General features: G+C 37.0%; 1 protein-coding gene across 4 annotated transcripts in view, besides 1 other annotated feature; it reads left to right on the top strand.

Moving 5' to 3' along the window:
* The window catches only part of GPC6 (glypican 6), a 1191492-nt gene that overhangs the window by 909575 nt on the left and 262319 nt on the right, over positions 1-19598 (top strand). The window lies entirely within an intron of this gene.
* Positions 17442-18375: an enhancer, noted in NCBI's record as "OCT4-NANOG hESC enhancer chr13:94795799-94796732 (GRCh37/hg19 assembly coordinates)". NCBI's record gives its function as "activates a minimal SCP1, AML or CMV promoter by ChIP-STARR-seq in primed H9 embryonic stem cells {active_cell/tissue: H9 hESC(primed)}" and the evidence as "EXISTENCE:reporter gene assay evidence [ECO:0000049][PMID:30033119]".

A 19598-nucleotide genomic window follows, 5' to 3' on the forward strand; every position in this document is an offset into this window, starting at 1 on the left:
CCAGTGGCTCATGCCTGTAATCCCAACACTTTGGGAGAGGCAGAGGCAGGAGGATCACTTTGAGGCAAGAGTTGGAGCCCAGCCTGGGCAACATAGCAAGATCCCATCTCTACAAAAAAAAAATTGAAAATTAGTTGGGTGCAGTGGCACTTGCCTGTATTCCCAACTATTCAGGAGGCTGAGGTGGGAGAATCACTTGAGCTTAGGAGTTTGAGGCTGCAGTGAGCTCTGATCATGCAACTGTACTCCAGCCTGAGTGACAGAGCAAGACCCTGCCACAAAAATATAAAAATAAAGCAATACTAATATACTTTTATCATGCCTGAGGCCGATTTCAAATTTATACTTAACAGTACAAGCCTTTGTAAAAAAGTGAATATGAAAGTGGCTTTTAGTGACTTTCTACCAGGAAAAAGTTGAACTGCCAATTTGTTTTCAAAGAGTTGAGGTTCTCTAAAATTAATTTCTGGTTTATCAAATTATTTCCATGCATCCTAGGCATTTAATGTCATCTTCTCATCAATTAATAGAAGGGTAAAAATAGGAGGAGAAATAAGTAACAGGGGTAATAGGAGGAGTACAAAAAAATCAAATATTATTACCTGTTTGCTTCATTTCTTCCTTAATGTTTTTGGACCTGTACACTTTTTCTGTGTATATTGATAACATAAGAAGTTGGCTGAGCTTATTTCTCTCTTGAGGTAATAGTATTCACAGTTAAATCCTTATTTTTCTAAGGAAAGTTGTGTTGTTCTGAAAATTGCCTTCAGGCAGCCATTAGCTAGGGACTAAATATCTATTTACAGTATTTTATAGAAATGTTTTTGGTATATAGATTAAAAGTGAAAATCTCTAATATTTTATTCACTTTTGATTTTTTTAAATCCTAAAATTATATTATCTCTTAAGAAAAATATATATGTACTAGTCATTTTTCAATATGGTAACTTTTTTTCCTACTCTAAATCTGGGCCTAGGATGTCACAACTGAACTGAACATTGAAAATTCAGAAACTCCAATATGTATCATTCCATAATCACCCTGTATTGTTCACTCTTAAGAGTGGTTTGAACCTATGAAGGAGAGTTTGCATCCATGTACATGGTTGATAGAGTTTGGATATTTGTCCCTGCCCAAATCTCATGTTGAATTGTAATCCCCAATGCTGGAGGTGGGGCTTGTTGGGAGGTGTTTGGATCATGGGGACAGATCCCTCATGGCTTGGTGCTGGTCTTGTGATAGTGAGTTTTTGTGAGACCTGGTCATTTGAAAGCACCTCCCCTCCCACTCTTTCTCTTGCTCCTACTTTCGCCATGTGATGTGCCAGCTCCGCCTTTGCCTTCCACTGTGATTGGAAGCTTCCTGAGGCCTCCCCAGAGGCAGATGTCACTATGCTTCCTGTAAAGCCTGCAGAACTGTGAGCCAATCAAACCTCTTTTCTTTATAAATTACCCACTCTCAGGTGTTTCTTTACAACAATGCAAGAACTACCTAATACAGTGGTAAAAATCCCAAAGCCAAGATTCTTGTACATCTGGACCAGCCCTGGTCATTGCCAGTTACAAATGGGCAGATAATATTTTGCTAAATTATTGCTATTTCAATTGTAAAAGCAAGAAGAGTGCCAGGGAACTGCTAGTCAGATGGCCACATGTGGATGAGGTTGCCACAGGTGACTGGTTTAGTGTTACCAGGTCAGAAAATTGGTGTCATTTTTAAATTCGTTTTTAGAGTAAGGTGGAGGAATAATCATTTCTAGCTCCTGAATGTTCCTATCTGCTATCCAAGGCATATCAAGGTGTCTAGAAAGCCAAATTAGGAATTAGAAGGTGCTTAATAAGGAAAGGCTTAAGCAAAGGGAGTTAGATTGCCTTGTAGACAATGTTATACAGTCCACAGTCATGATTATTTCTGCTCCCCTACAGGGAATAGTAATCTATTTTATATCATGATGTATTCTTTCCAACACTTATTAATCAGCACTTAATTCTCAAATATTAGAATTTATCTTCTCTTAGATTTTAAAATCAGTGTGTTTATTTAGAAGGAAACACTTTAGACTTTTGATGAAAATTTAGGAAAGATTTATTTTACCAGTAACACTCATCATCTTTTGGGTGGGTCATTAACTAACTTAGATGATGGTCTGTAAAGTAGGAAAATTTTTATAATGACTCCACAGACAGCTAAGTAAATAATGATCACTTGCAAGCTGATTTGGTTGTAGTTGTGTACTTTTTAATAGAGAGCACAATAGATCACTGTATCTGTCAGGATAAGCTAGTTGTATTGTGATAATAGACAACTTCAAAATCTCAGTGGCTTGAAACAATGCAGTTTCTTTTCTTTCTAGCATTACATGCCTAATATGAGTCAGGTGGGGACGCTACACTTGTGTCCTCACTTTGGATCCTAGGTGACATAGCAGTTGCTGTGTGGAATTTTACCAGTCATTCTGACTGCAGGAAAGACAGAGCTCTGGCTGGTCTTAACGGGCAATTAAATGCTCTGGCTTGGAAGTGACAGAGTGTTACAACTCGCTGGCCAGGACAATTTACTTGGCCCTATCTAACCACAAGAGAGCCAGAAATTGCAATGCTGCCATGTGACCAGAAATGAAGAGAACTGGAAAGATCTGGCAAACAGCATTGTGAGCCTCCTAATCATTTGTGTGCATTTGCCATCACCCCTTATGTTAGCATATCTTTATTCAGAAGGTCGGAGAATCACAAATGTGTCAAACAATGTCAGTTACTACCATGATCATTTATTTTAGATCCCATTCTTCCTCCATAACTACTTTTTTCCACACCCACGTTACTCAAATACAAAAACCAGTATCTCTAAGCATTTTTCTGAAATTCACCTTAACTTCTTTGAACCTCAATTTGTTTCAGTAACAACAACAAAAAAGGCTCAGACTACAGTGTCTCTGATAAATTTTAAAATTTTATGATTACATTGTGAAGTTATTAAATTGTGGCATTTATAGTATTCAGTTATGTAGGTATTTATAATGTGTGTTTAGCACATTTTAAAAACATGCTGTAGTTACTCAGTATTTAGAACAAACAATATAAATTGAAATAATGAGAAATCTCAGGGTTATCCTAAACCACCACTTGAATGGAAACAGTAATGGACAAACCATAAGCTGTGCTGGACAACTACTGCCTGCTCTCAGATCCCTTCCTCTCCTTTCCTCTACTCGCCTCTCTATAAGCAGGGAATTACATTTCCCAGGGTCCCTTGTTCTTTAGCTTCTGGGTCAGTTAAGCCAATCAAAGGGACTTATGGAAGACCTGTCCCAAGCAGGAGAGAAGCTGGAATATTTTTTCCTCCTCACTCCATTTCCTTTCCAAGTCTCCAGCAGTAACAGCAGCAGTAGCAGCAGTAACAACTGTGTCTACCCTGTGGTTCTGCCTCCCACTCTTCTGTGACCCAATCCCCCACCAGAGACTTTGGCTTGTGTTTTTGGGTAATAGCTCCTCCTGTTATCCCATAAGCCCTAGCAGAGCGAGTGGCTTCCTTTGGTAATGTCTGGGTCATCGTTCTAACTTCTGTTTGGTTTCTCAACTCTTCTGTCCCCTGTGTAACTATTTCCCTGTATTAAATACTTTCTGTTTGAAAACCACTCTGAACCTGGAGTGGTTTCTGGTTTTCTGGCTAGATCTTGACTAATAGAATAGCCCACTATGAAACTGAAAGATTCCTTGAAAGGTTATGTTGACTCAAAGGCCACATAAGCAATTTTCTTTTTAAAATGAATGAGGTCAGTAGGATAAATGGAAAGTATAATGAACCAGGCAGGGTCTGTATGTTACACAGAAGATCATATTACACAAATATGTTTATATTCATACCATTTTGCAGATTGTTTAAAGTGTAAGATATACCTTTTTTCCATGTAAATATGAAAGTTCTGTTTCGTGATGGAATCATATTCATTGCATTGATGGAGCAAGATATATTTAATGCTCTCATACTGATTAATGTTTAGGATCTGTTGGACTTTTGAGTACTATAAATAAAACTCAGATGAACACACATGCAATATTTGAAGGATTTAAAGTTTATTTTTTTCTTTTTTCAACAGAAGGTACTTCTAACCATTTTACTATCCAAATTAACTTTTTCTGTATCAAAACTAACCCTGTCCACCAGGCCTCCTAGCTTTTTTATTTTATCTTAGCTTCCTAAGTCAGTCAGGCAATTGATAGGATCCAAAAGGAACAGTTGTTATATTTTATACTCTTAAGTCTCTACAGTGAAGCAAAGGGAAATAAATCATAATTCAGAAAGAAAAGTACAAGAGTAAGTAAGTGTTAATACCATAGCACTGTGTTAGAACAAAAAATGTATTTAGTTTGCTTAGTAAATGCAAAAACCCAGCCTAAACCAGCATTCTAAGTGCAGAAGAGAACTTCAAGATTGTCAAGAGGAAAGGAGAATGGGACCAAGGCTTCCAATTTTTAATTTTGAAAGTACAGTAGGAAACCTCTTTGGAAACTCTATTTAGCTACTATTAATATGAAGTCAAGTAACACCCAGGCAGCTCATCTCAGAGAATCTCAAAAGTGCAAGACTCTCTGACAGTTCTTTTTCTGCAAAGAAAATGACCATGAAGTCATTCTGCTTTATTAAGAGTCCTCATAGGAGTAGAGAAAAGTTTTAATAAGCTTATAGCTACTCTGACAGTGGAGTAGTAAATACTAAGCATTACTTCATAGGAAGAAGTAAGTATAACACCTTCACAGGCTGTTTTTATAACATATGGACTGTTAAGTACTTGAGAAATAATTTGTTTGTTTTTGCAGCTCATAGTTTAATGTAATGAAGCACTACTGAGTTGAATAACTAGACAAGAAACTCCTTAGTTATGGGGAATTATATTCTGAATTAATGAATTGCAAATTGTAAGCCAATCCAACTCCTATAAATATTATGAGGAAAGAAGTAGCAGTCTTACCTACACAGATTTTCAAGGCAAAGTTATTCTGTGATGAGAAAAAGATTTACAACATAATTAAGATTCCTAAAATATAAGTACTTAAGAAGAAACTTACCATATGTTTAAAATTATCCAGGACTGCATTTATGATCTGTGATAAGTATATATTTTCTGGAATGCCGAAAACCTCTTTAAAGGTTTTCTGTTTTATTTTTATGGCTTTATTGTGCATTTCGCCTCTAGCAATTTACAATGGGCTTTAAAAATTCAAAAAATAAAATAAATATTTTCATTCTGTGCCTGTGATAGTTATTTCACTTTACAGAGAAAATACTAACTCATTGGTAAAAATACAAATAACTTAAAATGACAGATTTAATAAACCACATTCTGGGAACATTTTGTTAACACAGCTCTATGATATGAAATACAGAGCTTTTTTCAAGTTTGAATGTCAATTAATTTGAGAAATGATGGTCTTGAGAATTGTCTTCAATTTCTGTATACGGGAGATCATTAAGAAAATATGTAATCTTAATGGGTCATTTCTTTTTTCCAAAAACTGACTTTAGAGTTCAAAAACAGAGATGACACGATAAATAGGGAAAGAGGCCGTGAGTCTGATGTTAAAATTCTTGAAACCTGGCTTCATCCCATAATAATTATATAACCCTGGCCAAGTTATGAACATTGATGATTCTGTTTCTTCATCTCTCAAAGACGTAAAATAAGATATAACTTGCCTTCTTCAAATGGTGGGCCTAAGGATGAGGGTAGCTAATACAAATGAAAGGGTTTTAAAAATAATTTATGTGGTTAGCAAAAATGCTATACAAGAAAAGAAAAATAAAGGATTTCATAGTCAAATAGTTTAGGAAATCTTAGATTATTGTGCACATGAGGCAGAGAGAGAAATAATGACAGATTTCTCAGACACTTCAGTAAAGAGAGAATAGATTCTGCCTGTTACCTCGTTTGACCTTGGAACCCTCCCTGGCTCCATTTCCTGTCACACATCTGGAGAACACTGGTGGAGAAAGGTGATTCCAGAGCGCACGGAGGCCATGATGGTTTTTCACGTAGGGTGTTAAAGAGCGAGGTACAGAAGACTCAATGGAGCAAAGCTACCACAGAATTGATGGCACTAATAACTTCTTGAGGGTGATTCTAGCTGAGTGTTTCCTGCTTGTTTCTTATAAATGTATTTGGTACAGGATCAGTGTAGTTATATTTCCCTGAAGCTATTTCTTACACACGATGGCTTCAGCAGGTTTGAGGCCAAAATGCCATAGGAATGCACATGCCTTCCTCAGATTTTGCCTCTCCATTTTGAATGTATGCAAGTCTTGAAAATCCTCGTTATTGGGACCCTTCTGACCCCTGACCACAGCCTTGTGGTCTGACAGACGCTGTAGCCTCATGGAACAGGGCATTTTCTCCACCTGTGGACTTGTTTTCTGTATTCCTAAAGGGAAGAAAATAAAGAATCCTCAAGATCTCTTCCTTGTTCAAAAATATGGGCCAAATAATAGTACAACATTCCCTCCCCAGCCTCCTGGGTCTTTAATAGTTGCCCTCACCTCCCTCATCTAAATTAGTCATTAAAGACTAGAGCATTATCTCCAAGAAGCCTATATGAAAGGCACAGCATTTAACTGGCATGAAGGCCATTTTATCTCTCTCCTAGGTATTGATTAGTTTCTCAGATTAGATCACGGTCACGGAGTCAGATGCTGAAATAGGATCCACCAAATACCGCCTCAGGACCCAGCCCATGGATAGACTTCCTAAAGTTAAAAGACGATTTCAGAGTTAGTCTAGCATTTAATAAGTATAGTAGACAGTATACATTAGAAGACAATTGCAAAAAATAAAAAATTATAAGGCTCCAGATATATTAATGTTTTGTTTTTTAGGTTTTATCAGATTTTGATGTTCCTGTATGGCCATTGTAAAATCTACTGACAACTTGAAAGCATGTCTAGCTTCTGAAATATTATTCCTATGGAATGTTGATTCTCATTCTGGGAAGAAGAGCAGTCTTTTCTGTCATTCACTCAGAAGATAGTTATTGAGTATTTACGATGGTCAGGTGCTGCACTAAGAAAAAAGATAGAAACAAGAATTAGACAACGACTATATGACTCTGTCTCGATTCCCATGTTTGTGAACCAGCAAGTACATGCCCACCATACAGGTACTGACCAGTGACAAAAAAAAAAAAAAAAAAAAAAAAACCTTAAGTGCTTTTAAAACACATGGCTCTAAATAAAATAAAATTCTAACTCTTAAAATATAAGATGTGAAATAGCAAATTATAAAAAGTACAGCCACAATATAATGACTTAAAAACTTCCCACTTAAAAAATAAAAAATCAAATTAAAAAATCAGAACAAACAGGGAATGTATTCATTTTATATTATACAAGATATCTTGGCAGAACTTAATAACTGAAGACCTCTGTTTCCCTTTGCAAAATGAAAATAGAGAGCATAGGGTAAATAAGAGCACTGAGAAATTCAGCTTTCCAGGTATGATTTCACCATCCAGGGCTTTACTTTTTTTCACATTGTGGGTATGTGCCCTTCCATGAATATAACTTGGAAGTGGAGAGGATGAGAAAGTGAATTTAGTATGCCTAAAAAGAACACAACAGCATTTTTTTTTTTTTGGTCTCAGCTGAATGTTCAACTCATTAAAAGAACAAGAAACATTTCATGGATTACTGATAGCAGTACCTCTGTCACAGACAGGAGGCCAGATTTGAGCCATAAATGGAGCCATTGTGTGCAATAACAAAGGTGAGATATTCATCCTCAAAACTGATCCACCTCCTGCCAAAGACAGGTACACACAATGAATACACAAAAACAGCCTAGTTTTTTTCAGAGAGCCACACTAAAAAACAAGTTATTAGGACATTAATCATCAGTTGAAAACAACATTCCAGAAGAAAACAGCAAAATCAACAAAAATATGTGTACTGCTGATATGCTTGCAAAGCTCAACACACCCTACAATGAGGTTAAACGCTAATATTTCTGAAACTAATCTGTGATTTCTTTTTCATTATCATAAAGGCAGTGACAAATTGGAAATGGTTGAATTCATATTCTCACCTTTGAATGCTGAATTACTAAATTTAGTTAAAGGCTGTGAGCATTAGACAGAGCCTTAATGATTGGGCATTATCACCACTTCAGCCCATGAATGGGGAGTAGGGGCCTAGAAAACCTAATTAATGGCAGTGCCAGAAGATAACACAGACCCCTGCTCCAAGTTCAGCATTGTCTCCTTTACACTGTACTATTCTGTCTCTTGAACCAAATAGATCCTAGGAAGGGCCACATTTCCAGAATTTGGCAACTGCCTGGAAATTTAGATCCCCCAGAAGAATGTGTCCCCCTCATGCTAAATGCCTCAGTTTTGCCTATTAAAGTATTTTATTTATTCTTTAGAACACTTTATGCTCATAAACGTGCCCATTAGTTTTACAAATTACCACATTACTCATAAATGAGGTGTCCTCCTAATATAGCACATAACTTATTGTTGCATTTTATTGGACCATTTATAATAAAATTATGGAATGTGTTAAATAACCCTTAGAGAAAAAACATATTCATCATCTTAGCAGAGACCTAAGTATTGCATTTTTTCTAAGGTCTTTGTAGGGAATCTATATGCAGAATATCATACTATTCCTCTAAGAGGACTTTCGGGTTTCTATTTAAGGTCACTCCTCCCATCCTTTTCACTAGATTTCCTATAAAAGTCTAAGTCACCTGTAATGCTCTTATTTTCACAATCTGAAGACAAATGATTTACTTCTTCTAAATCACATAAGATCTATTTGTTGTTTAAGTTAGCAATTAAAGTTCAGCAGCAAAGTCTGAAATCACCTCTTCTCCTTGTCACCCACTCGTAACAGAAACATTGGCACTAACACATGTGACCTTCAGAATAGCCGTTGCCTCTCATAAAATCTAACAGTGTTTTCTTCAGAAATAAGGACTACGAAGCCACAGACCTCAAGTCCCTTTGAGACTCATTGACATAGTACTTATCTAGCTGAAACCAAGGGTGCCCTAATCACAGGACACCTACAAAATTTCCTTTCTTTCTTTTTAGCATTTACAGACATGGGCTACCGGAGCTGTATTACAGATTAGCTTTATCTAATGTAAGCTAGTATGCAAAAAAAAAAAAAAAAGTTAAGGCAGACTGAATTAATTATATCTGAGATTTGACTTACACATTAGATGATTAAATATGTGCATTTGAAAAAAAAGTCCCTGAAGGTAATCTTGTTACTTTAAATAATTGTCCAGGGCCTTTTGGCTAAAGTGACTTTCCCCATGTAGCTTGCTTGTGTTATCTTAATTTTTCAGTGTCTTAATTTTGCATTTTCTTTATGGCTCTACTTTCAATTTAATTCAGAAGCATTTATTGAGAGCCAAATGGGCAGAGAACAGTGCTAGAACCTGCAGGGGAATGGAAAGTTGAAAAGTCATGACCCACCCACCCGTCAGGGTTGTCTCTGTCATGTAGGACATAAATCCACATGGCTAATGCATCAGCCATTACACCAATAACTCCAGTCCAAATCCAGATTACCAGTACCTATTTTTTATTATAAAGGGAATTTATCGAATCACTACTGAATTAGCAAGAATCAATAAATTAGGAAAAAGAAGCCCTTGCTTGCAGCATAGCATGAAACTAAGACAAACAGCTCATCTCCAACGCAAGGTGGTTAAGCACTGAGCCACCACTGGCCAGGGATGCCACAGAAACCCAGGAAAGGAGCTTAGGGCCCTCAGAAAGAGTTGATTTTTGAGTTAGATCCTGAAAAATTACAAGTTAGCTGGACAAAGAAGTTAAGCAGCTTCCAGGCAGAAGAATAGCACCTCTCAGCCTGCAGATCTTCCTAGTTTTTTGACTATCATTGAGAAATCAAATTTCAAAAATCATTTAGGAAATGGATAAAAGGTAACCAAATTGTATTGTCATTTCCAAATAAGCAATTAGTTTCATGATTTCTTAAAGCAAAGGATTAACACCAGAATGTAGAAAAGGGAATAATCTTAGAATAAAGGACAATTCTTTAACTTGAATAAGTTTAGCATCTTTTTTTTTTTTTTTTTCTTCATTTCACTTCACTGGCAATCCTTTTCATACCTAGTACTAATTACTGGACCGACTTCTGTGAACTACTGATTGGAAAATAGAGTCTTTGGGGGAGCTGCAAGCAGTTCCTAGAGAATACAGTACAAGAGAGTGGCGATAAGAGGCCAGGCATGGCGATAAGAAGGGTGTGCATGGACTGGATATGAAGGACCTTGAATGCTGTGTTAAGAAGTTTGTTCTTTTGCTGGGCGCGGTGGCTCACGCCTGTGATCCCAGCACTTTGGGAGGCCGAGGCAGGCAGATCACGAGGTCAGGAGATCGAGACCATCCTGGCTAACATGGTGAAACCCTGTCTCTACTAAAAATACAAAAAATTAGTTGGGTATGGTGGTGGGTGCCTGTAGTCCCAGCCACTCGGGAGGCTGAGGCAGGAGAATGGCGTGAACCCGGGAAGCAGAGCTTGCAGTGAGCCAAGATCTTGCCACTGCACTCCAGCCTGGGCGACAGAGCGAGACTCCATCTCAAAAAAAGAAAAAGAAGAAGTTTGTTCTTTTTAATTCTAAATGCAGTGTAGAGTGATTGAAGGAATTTTAAAAGGGAATGCACCATGAGATTGTGTTTCAGAATGATTATCAGGACAACAGTTTGGGAAATTAAGAAAACACTAACTTTGCAGATAGGGAGAAAATAGGAAGAGATTAACAGATTCAAGGCAAGAAATGGTAGTGGCCATAGTGGGCGAGTAAAGATGGTAGGAAGTATAGACATTTGAGAGATTTCAGGAGTTTACATCAGTAAGACTCAATGACTGATTGGATTTGCGGGCAAAGGAGAAAAGACAAGAATAATGGAAGATATCCTAAATTTCTGACTTTCACAATAAAATTAATAGGTGGCAGTGTCTCAATTATTTCTAGTTGATCAATTGAAAGAGAACTGAGGAGTTAGAGAAATTTGATTTTAGATCGCTTGTACATGACATATCTGTAGGACATCTTGGAGATAATATCCAGCAATTGAATACATGATTCCAGGGTTTGGGGAAAAGATCTTGGCTAGAGAAATACATTCAGAAGCCAGTAGAGGGGTGATCATTAAAGCCAAAGGAGTGGATAAGCTGTGTGGAGACAATCTATTATTGATGAGAACAGGGCCCAGGGTGAAATTTTGTCCAGCTGGGACATTTAGAAAATAGGCAGGGGATTTGTGACAATTGCTGCAATTGCTATAATTCTAGCAGAGTGCAATGAGGATATAGAGAGGTGAGAGACTCTCAAAGTGATAGGGTCTGAGCTGAGCCTTAAGGAGTGGGATCTGGAACAGGCAACTAAAAGCAAGAAAGACTTTCCAGGCAGAGACAAGGGAAGATGCTTATTTTTTGTTGTTGTTGTTGTTAACAATTATAAACATTTATTAAGCACCAAGAATATACTGTGATGGTTGCTATATGAAAACATAATTATCAATATAGTATCCCTGCCATTGAGCTTACAATCTAAAATGAAATACAATGCTATGAGCCTACCTAAAAACTTCCTTAACTTAGAAATGGCTACTTTGGCAAATGAGCAAGGCAAAATGACCTATTATTCAGGTGCAGTGTTTTAACCTAAAACAGTAGTGCTAGGGGACTTGTTAAGAGCACAGATTGAAAGAAGGGAGGTGGAGGGGCCACATCAGATTTTTAATCTGATAAACTTAGGATAGGCTAGAAATTGCATGTCTAATAAGTTTCTAGGTGATAATGATGCAGTTGGTCCCTGGACAACATTTTGAGAAATACTTTCATTTAAAAACAAGAAGCAAACAAAATCCTCCTTTCCATATTTAAGAGGCATTCTTGAGACCTAATTGTATAGTGTTTGCTAAATATCTACATGTACAGGTTGAGCATCCCAAATATGAAAATCTGAAATATGAAATGCTCCAAAATCTGAAACATTTTGAGTACCAACATAACATTCAAAGGAAAGGCTTATTGGAGCATTTTGGATTTCGGGTTTTCGGATTAGGGATGCTCAACCATTAAGTATAATGCAAATATTCCAAAATCCAGAAAAGTCCAAAATCTGAAACACTTCTGGTTCTAAGCACTTCAGATAAGGGATATTCAAACTGTATTTGCCCTGTCTATATAAACTTTAATAATCACCTCACAGCCCTTGTACCAGATTGCTGAACCAAATTGTTTCATTTATCTTTATATCTCAAAGAACTTCCATTCCTGTAATCGTTCCAGTCGTCTTTATACTTATGATGCTTCATAAATTCCACCTCTTATCATGTTCCAGGAAAGGCATAAACTTTGACCTGGGTGGGATGGTTTGCTTTGTCTTCTTTGAGACACTTTCAAGTACCTTCTTCATCTTTTCAGCCACAAAAGTTTATCATCAACCTCACATACACAGTTAGTTCAGAGCTGATGTTCTTGTCAAGATAGTAAAGCTCATCTGCCATTTTTACGTTTATTGATCTTACCATGTGAAATTTTACTATAAGCTTAAGCCTACTTAAGGTATCATTATTTTTTATTTTCTGGAAGGGCTGAAAACTTGCACTACGGGTAGCACAGCCAGACACCAGCCTGTAACAATGACAATAGCGACAAGGATGGCAGAAGCTCTCCTGTACTGAGTACCTAACAGGTACCCAATAATGTCTGTCATTAGGGGCTGCAGAGATGAAAGACATGTTCCTCATTCTGAATTAAGTCTCCGTCTAGGGCAATGGGCAGGAAACCAGATAACTTACTATATACCGGGATAAGGAATGTGATTATGGTAAGGGAATAGATAGGAGGGGCGCCTGTCCCATTTAGGGAAGAGATCCAGGCAGACAGTTTCCAGGAGATGACACTGGAGCTGACTTTTGAAGATATGGTAGGAGTTAGCTGGGGGAAAAAAAAAAGCATGATGCATTTGCTGGAGAGGGTGATAGACAGGAGATAAGGCTGGGATCAGATGATGAAGGACCCGCAAAACCTGTAAACTAGATAAGGCTAAATCCACATTATGACATGACTCATATGCAGCCAACAATGGTATTTTGTTTGGGTGATAGGTACCCTAAAAGCCCTTACATACACTATGCATGTAACAAAATTATTCTTATACCCCATACATTTATGCAAATAAAAAATACACAACAGTTCAGAAAGGAACTACAAAGAACATACAGGCATAACTATAGTATTTGTCCTGTATTAATATCCAGTTCCCCCACCTTAGGAATTGGAGACCTGTCAGGTAAATGAAGCTAAATAAATATCTCCAGATTGGGGCTCCTTGGATCTCTCATTTCTTCTGTCATCTTGCTTCTGCCTCATCTGCCAAGTATCTTGTAGATCTAGCGCAAATCCATCTAAAGACTTGCCTTTATTGTGATAGCTGAAATGGATCCTATCAAGGTGATGGGAAGTTAGACAGTACCCCACCTGTCTGCAATTGCTCAGACATTTAGCTTTAACCATGGTCCTCATCAGTGCTATTTCCTGTATTCTGGCTGCTGCTTTTGCTCATTTTCTGTTGGACAGAGTTAGGTAATGCTGGTATATGATGAGGTTCATTCTCCTCTGATGATGTTCTGCAAACACAGCTTCTACTGACTAGCAAGACCCCTGCCTGTTTCCTTAGTCATATCTGATCATTCCACCAGCTGTAGCTTCCTGGGGCTACAGTTTAACAACATTGTTTTCTGATTGTTGTTAACATTGACACATAGTAAGAGCTACTGATTTTTTCTATGGAAATGTTTATTTTTTATTTGACCCCTTCCCAGAACCCTCAGGAGAATGTAAAAGAGAATTTATATTTTCATTCATTATATCATCATGAGAAAATTGTTTTTCTTTTTTTTTTTAATAAGCCCATTCAGGTTTATATTTTTCTTTTCCTTTTATCAAATTTTCTTTGAATGTTAAGAGTCTATTATACCGAATAGTATATTACTTCAAGGAATTCAGGAAATAAAAGACAAGCCAAGAAGCAAGTGCAGTACAAACCTTTGAGTGGGACCCCTTTGAATGGTATTTACATAACATAAGATGTAGTACCGCAGGGACTGGAAGTTCCTCTGTGTTCATTAGTGTGTTATGCTACTACAATTTGCATTTAGTTTTAATTTGAATTAGTAAATGTGAATTCTCTCACAATACACTAAACTAGTTTGTGTTTGACACTGGGGGCCTGGATAACCAAAGTTGCATATGCCATGTTTAAAATATGTTTAGAATTGGAACCAGTAGTAAATTGTTAGTGAAAGAAAAAATTATGAAACTCCCATTTGTCTTCCATGAATTGTGTTCTGGGAACTGTTGGAAGCATTCACAAGCAATGGCTCAGTTAATCCTCACAAAAATAGCTGGGAACTGTAATGTCCCTGTCTTACAGATGAGGAAACTTAAATTCAGAGAAATTAAGAATGATGGAGCAGAGCAGGGATTGAAATTTAGACCCGAAGGCACTGTCTTCAGCAATTTTATTCAGAAATGTGGCTCCTTTAACTAGATGGCTGTCTTCCAGGTCATTGTAAACCTCCAGAGGGAAGGATAGAATTAGGCAGAACTCCAAGCTGGCATCGTGGTTTGAGGCTACCAGGAGCAACTTTCATTTCTTTGGATTTTGCTTTCATAAATCAGAGCCATTTTCAAATCTGCCAGTGCCACCTTTGCACATTGTCAAGGGAAAGGACAAATAACAAAGCTAGTAAAAAATCTTTCAAATGATATAATATAAATATATATTTATATTACGGTAATATATAAATAGATGTAGGCATGTGTTAACAGGAAAAATAAGCAAACAAAACAAAAACAAACAAACAAAAGACCTCTTTAAGATATGTAAAGAGGCTTATTCTGAGCCAGTAGGAATGACCATGGCCTGTGGAAACACAGTCTGAAGAGGTCCTGAGAAATTGTCACCAATGTGGGTGAGTTACAGTTTGGTTTTATGCATATCAGGGAGACAGGCGTGCAGGCAAAGATATAAATCAATACATGGAAGGCATGCATTGGTATCGCCCAAAAAGGTAGGATATCTTGAAGCGGGGGCTTATAGGTGGATTCAGAGATTCTTTAATTTGCAGTTGGTTAAAGGAGGAAAGCTTTGTCTAGAAATTTGGAATCAGCAAAAAAGAATGCTTAATATAAGGAAGTCTGTTAACCAATACACTGAGACAGAGTGACTTGTAAGGGTGTGTGACTTAACCCTTGTCTGGCATGGCGTTAGGTCCTGTTTATAACTCGGTCTCTTAGTGTCATGAAGAGTCCATTTCGTTAGTCTGATGATCTCTATTTTAATATTAATGCTGGTCAGTTGTGCCTAAACTCCAAGAAGGAGGTATCATGAGGCATGTCCCACCTCCCTTTCCATCACCACCAAGGACTTCGTTTTTCAGGTTTCTCTGGGGCCCCCTTGACCAAGAGGGGTCCGTTCAGTTGGTGGGGAGCTTCACATTTTAAGTTTACAAATATCTAGTTAATAATTGAAAAATTAAAGCAGAGAAAAGTGACAATAACTTATCCTCTCAAACATGTAAAATGGAGAAAAGAATCAGAATTTTTTTTAACAATGATCTGTTCACTAAGACTCAGTTTCATTGAGAATATGCACTGAATAACCAAAGGAATAGATGTTCAATGCACTCACTGAATAAAGGGGAAGAACCAAACACTCTTTCTAGCATGTTGCCCATTCTGGTGCAGGTTTTAAATTGCAGTTGGAGAATTCTCGTTAGAAACTATTTATTTCCCTTTACTTCCCTCCCTTGTTGGTGTGACCACATGGATGAAAACTGACCTTTTTTTTTTCCGTGTGTGTGTGTGTGATTCTGTATCCTCTTTCTGAAATCTTATTGAATATCCTATTGCCTATACTATCATTCAAAATTAAGTGTTCTAGAACATGTTGCTGTTGCTCTTTTATGGTCAACTCTGGTGGGAATTTAGAATCTGTCCATGTGCCATGTGAAGACGCATTTAAAAGAATACACACCTATATACACGTGTGTAATTGGCTGTTGAGATTTTAAAGAATATATAAAACTTATTATTTTCTTTTGGCCTTGTTTAGTGATAAGAGAGAAAATCCACAAGTTCAGAGGGAGATTTCGAAGTGATGTATCAAAATAGATGACATGATTTAATAGGTAATTTTAATTTAACAGGAAAGTCAGATAGCTTATCACCATACACATACACACATCTTTTGATGACTATGAAAATAGTATACGTTCTAGTAAACCTTTTGGAGGGTTCTGAAAAGTGTGATTAAAACTTTATCCATAATCTCACAATTCAGTTAACACCACTTAATACTTTAGGATTTTCCTTTTTTAAAAACAGTTATTCTGCTTTAAACAGCTAACCCAACTTATATTTAAATGGAGAAGAGAACTTTTTAGCTAAATGTAGCTGAATGGATTTCAAAACAAAACAAAGCAAAACAGCCTTCTTTGAGTTATTGAAACCGGGTGTTGTCTTGCTTTTCCTCCCATACTTAGCTTACAGAATATTATCTATATATAATATACATAGATAGATATAAAATATAGTATTTCCCCAGTCATAACTTGATGTATATTCCCAAAAAATGTATATATAGGAGAGAGATAGAGAGGAACATTTTGGTCGTGGACGGCTACTTTTTTTTTTTTTCTTTTTGAGACTGAGGCTCTCTCTGTCACCAGGCTGGAGTGCAGTGGCACGATCGCGGCTTACAGCAACCTCTGCCTCCTGGGTTCAAGCAATTCTCCCACCTTAGCCTCCCAAGTAGCTGGGACTACAGGCACGTGCCACCACGCCCAGCTAATTTTTGTATTTTTAGTAGAGACGGGTTCACCATGTTGGTCAAGATGGTCTCGATCTCTTGACCTCATGATCCGCCTGCCTCGGCCTCCCAAAGTGCTGGGATTACAGACGTGAGCCACCATGCCCAGCCAGATGGCTGGCTACCTTTTAATGAAAAAAAAAAAGATATATAAAAACAACAAAATATAATTAATATTTCTCATTAGTTTATTTTCAAGATTAGGTGAGATTGTCTCCCTTTGTAGTACTTTGTAGGAAGTTTAGCTGTGTTATTTTTCGTTGGACTTTTTATTACCAGCAAAAAGAGAAATGGTTTAGTGTGAGAGAATCATTCATAGGTTTTATTTCAGTTTTAATTCAGACTTATTTGAAGGTTTTGACAGAGAGTATTTCTATATAGGCAGTGTTATCTTTCCAAAGTATTTGATTTCTAGAATCTAGATTTTTAATATGATAGTCAAAAATCATATTAAATTTTTTGTCACTCTTTAGAATCATGACATTCTTCTCAGATACCTGATTATTAACTTTGTATTATGAAATCAGAAAATGCAGAAAGATGCCATTTATGTGGTTCCCATTCCAGCCTGAAAGAGAGTATAAAGGGATAGCAGCTGGGCACAGTGGCTCATGCCTATAATCCCTGCACTTTGGAGGCCAAGGTGGGTGGATCGTTTGAGCCCACAAGTTTGAAATGAGACTGGGCAACATGGCAAAACCCCATCTTTACAAAAAAATACAAAAATTAGCCAGGCGTGCACCTGTAGTCCCAGCTACCTGGGAGGCTAAGATGGGAGAATTGCTTGAGCAATTCTGAGCCTGGGAAGTCCAGGCTGCAGTTAGCCATGATCACTCCACTACACTCCAGCCTGGGTGACAGTGAGATCTTCTCAAAAATTAATAAATAAATAAAATTATAGCAATTGAAAGTAAGGCTAACTTGATCTGGACATCAGCGATTGTCACGTGGTTTCAACACATTATAGCTTTATAGGCGCATATTTTGTTTTCACTGAAGCGAAGTTGTTAAACGTTTGATTTTGTCCTAATGGTGAAAAGAAGACGTTTCCTGAAGGAGACAGGATTGCATTATCATTACAAAAGTATCCAGCCTCTGTCGCACACTCTTTTTTAATAGCGCTGTTGTCCTATTTGCATATGTAAGAAAAAGACTGAGAGTCACCCAGCAGCAAGCAAGTACCTGTAACCACAGAGGGCAGGGTCTGTAACATCAGGGTTGAAATGGAGACCATATTGTTTTTTAATAAAAGAGTGAACAGTCATTATCTTTTTCCAATTCATGACCCCAAAATATACGCAGTGTGGATTTACTTCCATGAATGGTCCATGATGGCTGCTGTCCATTCGTACAACCTGGCCTCTACTCTTTGCCTCTTAGGTGCTTTTAAAACACACACACACACACACACACACACACACACACACACACCAGAAATGGAACACCCATTTTTCAAGACTAATAATTCCAAGCTTATCTGTTCAGTTCTTAGTTCCTTTGTAGGAAAAGATCATTCTTTGGGAGTGTGTGTGTATGTGTGTGTGTGTGTGTGTGTGTGTGTATAAGACAGAGAGAGAGAGGGATATCTGTGTGCAAACACTAGTTTAACTAAAGGATATACTTTTATTTTACAAAGACTTGTCTAAAATACCTGTTCCTGACATGCAAACAAAAATAGATAATTTGTTCTTTTATTCCTAAATCTATTTAATTTGGTGTAATTCAGAGTGATCTTTGAGGATAGAAAGATAATGCCCAACTGAAGTTAATATTCTTACTGCCTGGAATAAGAATAAAGAATTTTAGCAGTTCTTAAAATATGGAGCAGAGCATTAGAATACCTGCTTTTATGAAAAATTTTATACATTTAAATTTATATAATGAAAATCTTTAGGAACCAGGCCCTAGTTAAACAGGGGAATCAAATATTTATATTACTAAAGTTATTAACAAAACTTTGGAGACCTTATTGCTTATGGGCAAAAGCACAGAGTTTGAAATATTGATTAGAGAGTAAGTTCTTTAGGAGTCCTAGATTTTATTTTTTCTTGCTTACTGCCTAGAGCAATGCCTAGCACCTAGCAAACACTCAACAAATATTTATTAAATGACTGGATGGATGGGTGGATGGATGGATGGATGGATGGATGGATGGATGGACGGATGATGAATGGATGGATGGATAAAATATATTAAAATCTATACTTGGCCATTTACCTAACATTCTATATAAAGCACCTTCTACATGGTAAGACTCATTATTGCATTTGTTGTCATTATTTTTTACATTAGTATAATGTTTTGACTTTATTGAAACTTATCAATTTAGGGTCAAATTATATCCTTATCCATTAGGCCTTTTCCAATAGGCCAATGGTAAAGTGTCCAAATAATTTTATTTTAGAATAAGTAGGAATGTCAGCAGTCATATAGCCTAGCTACTTCAATATATTGATATTTGTTTGGGAATTAAAAACCAAAGAGATTAACTGATTTGCTTAAAGTCTCATATGTGTACCCCCAGAATCTAAAATAAAAGTTGAAAAAGAAAAAAAATGGTAGCATGAGAAGTGTAAGCTTTGTATATATGAGAAGTTATGTCCAGATGATTCTACATTAAGTAACTTACTCATTAATTCAGTAAACTGTTATGACGTGTTCCCATAAATGTGTGAACTTTTCCAAGTA

The sequence above is a fragment of the Homo sapiens genome, chromosome 13, assembly GCF_000001405.40.
Source record: "Homo sapiens chromosome 13, GRCh38.p14 Primary Assembly".
NCBI lineage: Eukaryota > Metazoa > Chordata > Mammalia > Primates > Hominidae > Homo > Homo sapiens.